The 9,297-nt window shown below is 53.7% G+C and overlaps 7 annotated features.

Annotated features, from left to right (window-relative positions):
- Window positions 2,806-3,375: an enhancer, noted in NCBI's record as "H3K27ac-H3K4me1 hESC enhancer chr14:77419449-77420018 (GRCh37/hg19 assembly coordinates)". NCBI's record gives its function as "activates a minimal SCP1, AML or CMV promoter by ChIP-STARR-seq in naive and primed H9 embryonic stem cells {active_cell/tissue: H9 hESC(naive and primed)}" and the evidence as "EXISTENCE:reporter gene assay evidence [ECO:0000049][PMID:30033119]".
- Window positions 3,376-3,945: an enhancer, noted in NCBI's record as "H3K27ac-H3K4me1 hESC enhancer chr14:77420019-77420588 (GRCh37/hg19 assembly coordinates)". NCBI's record gives its function as "activates a minimal SCP1, AML or CMV promoter by ChIP-STARR-seq in naive and primed H9 embryonic stem cells {active_cell/tissue: H9 hESC(naive and primed)}" and the evidence as "EXISTENCE:reporter gene assay evidence [ECO:0000049][PMID:30033119]".
- Window positions 5,708-5,777: an enhancer, noted in NCBI's record as "active region_8777". NCBI's record gives its function as "activates an Ori minimal core promoter by ATAC-STARR-seq in GM12878 lymphoblastoid cells {active_cell/tissue: GM12878}" and the evidence as "EXISTENCE:reporter gene assay evidence [ECO:0000049][PMID:35858748]".
- Window positions 6,026-6,560: an enhancer, noted in NCBI's record as "H3K27ac hESC enhancer chr14:77422669-77423203 (GRCh37/hg19 assembly coordinates)". NCBI's record gives its function as "activates a minimal SCP1, AML or CMV promoter by ChIP-STARR-seq in primed H9 embryonic stem cells {active_cell/tissue: H9 hESC(primed)}" and the evidence as "EXISTENCE:reporter gene assay evidence [ECO:0000049][PMID:30033119]".
- Window positions 6,118-6,477: a silencer, noted in NCBI's record as "silent region_5960". NCBI's record gives its function as "represses an Ori minimal core promoter by ATAC-STARR-seq in GM12878 lymphoblastoid cells {active_cell/tissue: GM12878}" and the evidence as "EXISTENCE:reporter gene assay evidence [ECO:0000049][PMID:35858748]".
- Window positions 8,939-9,118: an enhancer, noted in NCBI's record as "active region_8778". NCBI's record gives its function as "activates an Ori minimal core promoter by ATAC-STARR-seq in GM12878 lymphoblastoid cells {active_cell/tissue: GM12878}" and the evidence as "EXISTENCE:reporter gene assay evidence [ECO:0000049][PMID:35858748]".
- Window positions 9,159-9,228: an enhancer, noted in NCBI's record as "active region_8779". NCBI's record gives its function as "activates an Ori minimal core promoter by ATAC-STARR-seq in GM12878 lymphoblastoid cells {active_cell/tissue: GM12878}" and the evidence as "EXISTENCE:reporter gene assay evidence [ECO:0000049][PMID:35858748]".

Genomic DNA, 9,297 nt, shown 5'->3' on the forward strand with positions numbered 1-9,297 from the left:
GTGGTGGGGGGATGCAAAAGTTCTTTCTGGTTCTCTTTCCTTTCTTTAAGGACAATCTTCCGGAAGCAACAGTGCGGGCAGCAATGGAGTTTACTGGAAGGCGCCTAGGCAGCTGGGCAGAAAGGAAGGGATCACCCAGCAGAAGCTATGGGAGCCCCTCTGTTCCTTCTGAAGGCACCTTGGCTGTTCACCAGAGCAGAGGGCACTATGGGCCCTGGTGCTGCTCAGGATGCCTGAAGGGGTGGGTGGGTGGCAAGGCCCATCCACCAGGGCACCAAAGCTGCAGAGTGGTGGGACTGGGAGGAGGGCTTGCACTGTGGGCCCGGCCTTTGGGGAAGAGTATTGTTCTGTTGCTGACGAAGCCCCAGCCCACGTGCAGGAATTGGCTGGGAGGCTGAAACTACCCTGGGTGACTGGGTCATCCGTTTCCCAAGCCCCACAATTCTTTCCATTCCACCCGGCTCACCATCTTGGCATGCCCCCAGTGCCCCACTGGGTGGAGGGAAACAGCAATACTCATTTATGGAGTCTGCAGTCTGCCAAACACAGTTCATGCGTTATCTCAATGCATGAGAATCCTTGCAACTACCCTATGAGTGCGTTGTTCTCCCCATTTCACACATGAGGAAACACGCTCGTGGAAGTTGTGTGACTTGCCCAGGGCCATAGAGCAGGAAGTGGCAGAGAGAACTTTCAAACCCAGGCTGGGCTAACAGGAAAGGTTGGGTTCTTTCCACAGCTGCCCTTCAGACTCCTTCCAGGGGGCGTCCTGGAACCAGCCAGCCCATCCTCCAGATTGGCCTAGGGTGTGGGCTGCCAGCCACACACTCCCCTCTCCCCCTACCATGCCCCCTCGTCCCCTCGGTGTTGGCTGCTCAGTGGCTCCCCATGCCCCCTGGCCCTCCGAGTCTCAGGTCCACGCCCAGCACGGTTTCTCTGCCAGGTCTGCACTAGGCTTCTGTCCCAATGGCCAGACTGAGGTTGCCATGAAAATGCCCTACCCTTGGACTCCCTCGTGGGCCCCACAAGCCACTGGAATGTCTCAGAAATCCCACCCTTCAGGCCCACATCCAAATCGCCTCTCCCAGACGGCCTCTCTCATTGCGAGCAACAGGAAAATCCTTTCAGATCGTGTCCTGATTTTCAGTTGGAAAACAGATGGCCACCATTGCAAGGCTGGCCATACACCCTCTTACTTCCTTTTTCTTTTTCATTCCATTTTCTCTCTGTGTGTCCAATATCATGCTGTGGTTGTTACAAGCACAGACATAACCTGAACTTGACTTTCGGATCTGCCCCTTCTCAGCCTTCTGACCTTGGACTCCTTACTTGGGCATTGGTGTCGTCTTCCTTAATAATTGTGACTGTATTCTGCATTCTTGGCTTTTTTTGTTTTTTGTTTTTTGTTTTTTTGAGACAGGGTCTGGTAGTGTCACCCAGGCTGGAGTGCAGTGGCATGATCAGAGCTCACCACAGCCTTGACCTCCTGGGTTCAAGCGATCCTCTCACCTCAGCCTCCCCAGTAGTTGGGACTACAGGCACATGCCAACACTCCTGGCTAATTTTAGTATTTCTTGGTAGAGATGGGGTCTCACTATGTTGCCCAAACCAGTCTCAAACTCCTGGGCTCACACAATCCTCCCGCGTCGGCCTCCCAAAATGTTGGGATTATAGGCATGAGCCACCGTGCCTTGGCTTTTTGTGAGTATTGAAGAGATAATAAATTAGAATCAGTGCTACCTTCTCAGCAAGCTTTTTCCAACCTTTCTTCTTAAAATTACAAACCCATCCCGACTCCAGCATCCTTATCCTCCTTCCCTTCTGTATTTTTCTCCATAGCACATGTCACCATCTTATGTACTAAAACTTTCACGTATTTTGGTTATTGACTCTCCCTCCAATGGAATGTAAGCTCTATGAGGACCGGGATTTTAAAAATCTGTTTCCGGCTGGGCGCGGTGGCTCACGCCTTAATCCCAGCACTTTGGGAGGCCAAGACAGGTGGATCACTTGAGGTCAGGAGTTCAAGACCAGCCTGGCCAACATGATAAAACCCCGTCTCTACTGAAGATACAAAAAAATTAGCTGGGCATGGTGGCACATGCCTGTAGTCCCAGCTACTTGGGAGGCTGAGGCAGGAGGATCACCTGAACCTGCAAGGTGGAGATTGCAGTGAGCCGAGATCTCGCTACTGCACTCCAGCCTGAGCACCAGAGCGAGACTCCGACTCAAAAACAAACAAACAAACTGTTTTCATGGTTATGTCCCTGTGTCTAGACAGGGCCTGATGCACTGTGGGCACTCAAAAAAATATTCATTGAGACTGGGCGTGGTGGCTCATGCTTGTAATTCCAACACTTTGGGAGGCTGAGGTGGGAGAATTGCTTGAGGCCAGGAGTTTGAGACTAGCCTGGGCAACATGGTGAGACCCCTTCAAAAGAAAAAAAAAACTGGCTGGGTATCGTGCCTGTAGCCCCAGCTACTCATGAGGCTGCAGCGGCAGGATCACTTGAGCCCAGTAGTGTGAGCTTATAGTGAGCTATGATTGTGCCCCTGCACTCCAGCCTGTAGGGCAGTGACCAAAGGAGACCCTGTTTCTTTCTTTATTTTTTTTTTTTTGAGACAGAGTCTCACTCTGTTGCTCAGGCTGGAGTGTAGTGGCGCGATCTCGGCTCACTGCAAGCTCTGCCTCCCAGGTTTACACCATTCTCCTGCCTCAGCCTCCTGAGTAGCTGGGACTACAGGCGCCCGCCACCATGCCTGGCTAATTTTTTGTATTTTTAGTAGAGACGGGGTTTCACCGTGTTAGCCAGGATGGTCTCGATATCCTGACCTCGTGATCTGCCCGCCTCGGCCTCCCAAAGTGCTGGGATTACAGGCGTGAGCCACTGCGCCCGGCCAGGAGATCCTGTTTCTTAAAAAGACATATATAATTGAATAAATGGAGTAACGGGGCAGGGCCAGTGGCATAGGTATTTTTCAGAAGCTTGTGATTTTGAGGCACCCCTAAGTTTTCTAGGTGGATAAAGCACCTGGCAGGGTGCCTGGCCTGAGGTTAGCTTAGTGCCAGAGGCCGGCTGATGGCATTATCTTGTTCCTTTAAGTTTCCTCGCCCACACCTATACCTTGGGCCTCCCAGTGATATCACTGGGAAGCCCTGTGGCATCCTGACCCAAGGGCCCAGCCATTCCAGCTTCTAACCCATCCCACAGGGGACAGCTCCTGGCTGCCACGCCCTCCCTTCCCTCCTCTCACCCACTTTGGAAGGGTGAGTCAGGACAGAAGACCAGGAACAGTGGCCTCAGGCCACTCTCCCGCTGCCCAGGCAGCCTGTTCTGCCCAGGGCTGTGGCAGGAAGGAGCCAAGCCACAGGGCAGGCCAAGGCTGTGCGGGCAGCTCAGGGCAGGGGCCTGGGGTGGGGCGGAGGAGCTCCCCTTTCTTGCTGGGATCTCTCCACAGGCCGCCAGCAGGCCCTGAGCTCCAAGGGGAGCCTCTTCCACCGGGCCACTTTCACTTTCTCTTTTCTCCACAGAAGCAGAACCAGCAGGCCCAGCTCACAGAGATGGGGTGGGAGTTAGGAGTCAGAAAAACTGGCTTGGCCAGGCGCAGCGGCTCAAACCTGTAATCCCAGCACTTTGGGAGGCCGGGACGAGTGCATCACCAGAGGTCAGGAGTTCGAGACCAGCCTAGCCAACATGGTGAAACCCTGTCTCTACTAAAAATACAAAAATTAGCTGGGCATGGTGGGGGGCACCTGTAATCACAGCTACTTTCAGGAGACAGAGGCAGGAGAATCGCTTGAACTCAGAAGGCGGAGGTTGCAGTGAGCCGAGATTGCGCCATTGTACTCCAGCCTGGGCAACAAGAGTGAAACTCCGTCTCAAAAAAAAAAGAAAAAAGAAAAAGAAAAACTGGCTCCTGGGGGGCCTCCTGAACATGGGAGAAAGGCGGCTCAACAGCCTCTGTGCCCCATAGCCATGTGAGTAAATCTCAGCAGAGAAATAGTAATAATGACAGTCCCTTATATTCCTCAGCCAGGAATACCTTTATTTATTTATTTATTTATTTTTATTTTTGAGACAGGGTCTCAATCTATCACCCAGGTTGGAGTGCAGTGGTGCAATCTCAGCTCACTGCAACCTCCACCTCCCAGACTCAAGCAATCCTCTCACCTTAGCCTCCCGAGGAGCTAATTTTTAAAATTTTTTGTAGAGATGGTCTCACTATATTGCCCAGTCTAGTCTCACACTCCTGGTCTCAATCGACCCTCCTGCCTCAGACTCCCAAAGTGCTGGGATTACAGGTGTGACTTACCATTTACTCAGCCTGCCAGGGATACTTTCAAAGCACTATCATGATTATTATCTCACCAGATCCTCACTCTGGGGCGGGGATAGGGAAGACAGGAATTAAAAAACAAATGCAAAAAAAAAATGTCCTCCAGGCTGGGAGTCAACTGAAGCCAGAAAGCCAGGGCAAGAACATTTTGTAGGTTTTGTATTTTGCCAGATTTCCTCCCTGTTCCCAGAGGTTCACCTCAGAGCAGCAGAGCCTTGCTCAATCTCTGCCCATCCAGGAAGAAACTGAGGCAACCCTGGCAGGACCCAGAGTGGAAACACAGCTGACGCCTCCATCATGGCCCCCTGTAACAGTGCAACACTCACAAACAAAGGAAGGGAATTCACTCCTGGATTTCCCAGCAGAGCCAAGTGTGTCTTAGGAGCTGGCAAGGAAGGGAGGTGACATCTGGGAGAGGACCAGGAGCCGTCAACAACCCTGGAGAAGTTGTGTTCATTCTTACTTTCCAGATAGTAAATATTGCCTAAAGACAGAGCTAGCAGAGATTCTCAAGCCTGCTCAGGATTTCTCTAAAGCCTTCCTGCTGCTTTCAGGGGTCAGGAGCCCCTGCAGCCTTTTTTGTTTGTTTGTTTGTTTGTTTGTTTGTTTTTGAGGCTGAGTCTCCCTCTGTCGCCCAGGCTGCAGTACAATGGCATGATCTCAGCTGACTGCAACCTCTGCCCCCCAGGTTCAAGTGATTCTCTTGCCTCAGCCTCCTGAGTAGCTGGGATTACAGGCGCCCGCCACCACGCCTGGCTAAATTTTGTATTTTTAGTAGAGACGAGGTTTCACCATGTTGGCCAGGCTGGTCTCGAACTCCTGACCTAAGGTGATCTGCCCACTCCGCCTCCCAAAGCCCCTGCGGCTCTTATCCATAGATCCTGCACAGGAACACCCCCACGCAGGCCCTGGCCCTCTCCTTGTTATGTGTCCCTGAGGCTGTCCTCCCAGGACTTGGTTCACTTTCAGGTCTGCCACCCATTGGTGCATTCATTTCTGTATTTAATGTTACTGAGCACCAACTATGTCCCACACACTCTTCCAGGTACTGGGGATACAGCAGAGCCAAACAAAACCGAGAAAGTCTCTGCCCTCAAGCTTTTATTGAAGGAGGGAAATAGACAAAAGAGAAGCAAACAAACAAAAAAGGTAAAATCAGAGGGTGGTAAAAGCTATGAAGGAAATAAAGCAGTATAACTGCTTAAGGAGCAGGGACCTCTGCAGGTGGATGGCAAGGGAAGGTCTCTCTGCAGAGACGACATTGACATTCATGCTGAGACCTGGGCCAGCCATGCAAAGAAGGGGGGTGTAGGCAGAAGTGCCGCAGTGGGAACAGGCTAGAAGTTGGGCCTGGTGCTGGGACAGTCCCAGTTCAGGCATGTCCTCCTGGTGTCGTTTTTAATAGCTCATCCTTTCACAATCAAGAGTGGCTCATGCCGGAGATGAGTTACCCGCAATGAGGGGCTGGATTTATTCTAAGGGCAGAGGGAAGCCATCACAGGAAATGATGTGATTGATGTTTTGAAAAGAACTCGCTGGCTGTTCCGTGAAGAATAAATTAGAGGGGCAGGAGGGAAGAAGTCTGCCTGGGGCGGCTGCAGCAACCCAGGCGTGCTGCGAGGTGCCCTTTGACTAGATTCCAGTGGGGGCTTTCGGGCGAGCAGAAGAACCCCAGGGATCAGCTCTAGCCACGCTCAGCTCCCTGGGCCGGCCCTGGGCATTTCTGAGACGGCCCTCGCGCTCAGGGACCTCTCCTCGCAGTTCCATTGTCTGTTCTTGCGGAGTCCTGCCACACTGGGAGGGCCACCCCCTCCTCTTGCTCCCCTCCCCTCCCCGGGTCCAGCCCCTCCCCTGCCTGGCCCGGCTGCCGCCCAGCGCCAGCCAGAGCCCACCCCGCCTCCCTGCAGGAAGCCGGCTGGCGGCGCCTGCTGCGTGACCTTGGGCTGCAAAGTCGGGCGTTTGCAAAGTCAAAGCGAGTCACTTCCTCCCCCAGGCCTCCCCCGAGCGGGCAGCCGGCCGCCGCTCCCTGCCCCCTCGCCCGCCGCGGGCCGGGGCTGGCGCTGGCACGAACGCGCTCTGCATGCTAAGTGCTCGCGCCCGTTCCCGCCGCCCGGAGGCTCATTTGTCACCCGCTGCTGACTCAGCACTTCTGCAGAAGGCTTTTCCCTCCGCTTTGGAGGAGGAGGCCCGGAAATGAGGCAGAGGCTCTTCCTTCCCTTCCCTCCAGCAGGGGTGTGTGGCGTGGGTGTGTGCGGGTGTGGCAGGGTCTGTCTGTATGTCTGATGCCTGTCCATCACCGGTGTATATTTTCGCGGCTGTGTCTGTCTTTTGTGTATGGCTGAGTCTGTGTATGTGTCTTAGTGCATGTTGATCCCTGCGCCTGTCTGGTGGGTCTTTGTCCCTGTCTGTGGGCATCTGTGTTGGCCTGTGGGCCTGTCATGTGTGTGTCATACGTGTGTCTGGGTGAGTGTGTGTGTGTCCCCCCCACCCCCCTCCCTCAGCCCCAGCCTCCTCCCCTCAGACTTCACCTTGTCTCCTGGAGTGACCCTGGGGTTTCTGAGGCCAAAGTGGCACACCTTCCCTCCCCTGGCACCCCCAGCTCCCATCCCACCCTCTGCCACCAGTCCCCTAACATGGGACCTCAGGGGCTGAAAACACAGGCTCTGGAATCAGCCACATCTCCACATCTAGGTCTCAGCCTAGGCTCTGCACTTGCCACAGGGACCTTAAATGAGATACCTTTCCTGAGCCTGTTTCCACACTTATAAAATAGAGGTGATCATATCTCCCTAAAAGAGGATAATTTCATGATGGGGTCTGGTATATCACATGCAGCAAATGGTGCCTGTTATTTCTACTTAAAGCAATAGGCCCAGTGTCAGGCACATAGCCAGGGTCTAATAAACGGCCACTTAAGAATAAAAGCACCAAGAAGCCCTTTCCTTGGCTGCCAGAAAAGGGAGTGGGTGGGGAGATGGTGACCTGGATTGGGAGCTGGGCAGGAGCTGTTTGCATGACACCTACTGTGAGGAGAGAGATGTGGTGACCTGATTTAGTGCTGCCTTGGGCAGCCAAGGAAGTCAGGAAGGAAATCACAGACGAGGGGCTCGGGAGCTGCTGTGCCCTGCCCTGCCCTTCCCCAGACCACACACTGCCTGACACCCGCAGGCAGAGTGAGGGCCCAGGGGGGAGGAGCACAACTCCATGCCAGCCCCTACCTCCAGAGCAGCCCTCATGCTGTGTCCCTGGGTGAACAACTTTTTTTTTTTTTTTTTAAGACAGGGTCTCTCTCAGCCACATAGGCTCGACTACAGTGGCGCGATCATAGCTCACTGCAGCTTCGACTTCGCGGGCTCAAAAGATTCTCCCCCTTCAGCCTCCTGAGTAACTGGGACTACAGGTGCATGCCACCATGCCCAGCTAATTTTTAATTTTTTTTTGAAGGGACAGGGTCTTGCTATGTTGCCCAGGCTGGTCTTGAACTCCTGGGCTCAAGTGATCCTCCTGCGTCTGCCTACTGAAGTCCTGGAATTATAGGCATAAGCCACTTTGTCCAGCCGCTGGGAGAATATGCACATCCATTCGTTTTACCTCTTTAGCAATCTTGTGAAGGAGATTCTTAGCATCCCCATTTTGCAGCTGAGAAAAACTGAGACTGGGAGGTTAAGTCCCAAGGTCACAGGACCGACAGGTGGCTGAGAGAACCCTGGCATTCCAGCTGCCAGTCAGGCACTCCCTGGTTGTCTACACTAGCTGCCGTCTTCCTGGGCACACACAGAGGAATCAGCACACACCCGGTACACCCTCCCATGAGCAGAACTCCTACACACTGGCTGGTACCATACCCTCCCTAACACCAGCACCCGTAGCAAATTCTTTCCAGGGCCAGCCAAGCCCTACTCCCCTTTGTTAAAGGCAGCTTTCCTCAGAAGGGTGAGCATTTGTTGTCTCAGGGCCTGCAGTGTGGATTCTACCTTCTTTTTACTGTGTTCAGCAGGAGCGAGGCAAACCAGCTTGGGATAGAAACACAGGCGTTTCCTCCACTGTCAGGGTTTTCCTGGGGCAGGCATCTGAGTTACTGCCTGGACCCGGTAGCCCCTAGCAACAGGGCACCACTCTCACCTGGGCCATTTATGATGACTTTGGGAGGTGGAGCCAATTAGGGGGCAAAGCAGGGATCCCCACAGGTGGGAGTGGCAAAAGAGTGGAGGCTTGAAGTCCAGGAAACCCCAGTGTATGCCTCTGCTGCTAAGGAGCCGTGTGGCCTTGGGCAAATCACTATCCCCTTCTGAGCCTGGGGCTCCACATCTACATAGTAAGGGAAGTGGCACTCATGTTCCTTCCAGTTCACACACAGTCCCACATGCTACTAGACCTAGGTTAAGGCAAGGTCTGTGCTATCAGGTACTACCATAGACACAGAAACCGGGGGAGACTCTGCCACCATTATACCCACCCACCCCAACCCTCAAGTTCCCAGCTCTTCCTGGGAAAACCGACAGACAACAGGCCCATGTAGGCAGAAGAAATCAACATGAGGGGTCTCAGTGCCTAGAGAATAGACTTAGAATGAGCCCAAAGTGGAAGGGAGAACCAAAGAGTTTCCCTCACTGCCACATTTGGCACTCCTGCTCCAGGGAATCCAGCACTGAGCTAGAGACAGGATGCTGGGTTCGCCATTCAGGATTCGTAGGTGAGGCCACAGCCATTTCTGCTTTCGGGGCCTGTAACTGGTGGAGAGAAACGGGTGATAGCATCTGTGGCCTTCCTGATTCATAGGTTTATCCCAGCATGAGGCGTGGCTGCTGCAAAGCAGACATGTCCATTTCTGTCCAGACACAGTTGGGGCGGGCAGTGGGTGGCTGCAGCCTGTCCTTACATGGGGCTAAAGGGGCCCAGCCACTTAGTGACTCACCCACTTGCCCAGCCAGCTGAAACCCTGGCCTCACCCTTCCCTTC

This window comes from Homo sapiens, chromosome 14 (assembly GCF_000001405.40).
Source record: "Homo sapiens chromosome 14, GRCh38.p14 Primary Assembly".
NCBI lineage: Eukaryota > Metazoa > Chordata > Mammalia > Primates > Hominidae > Homo > Homo sapiens.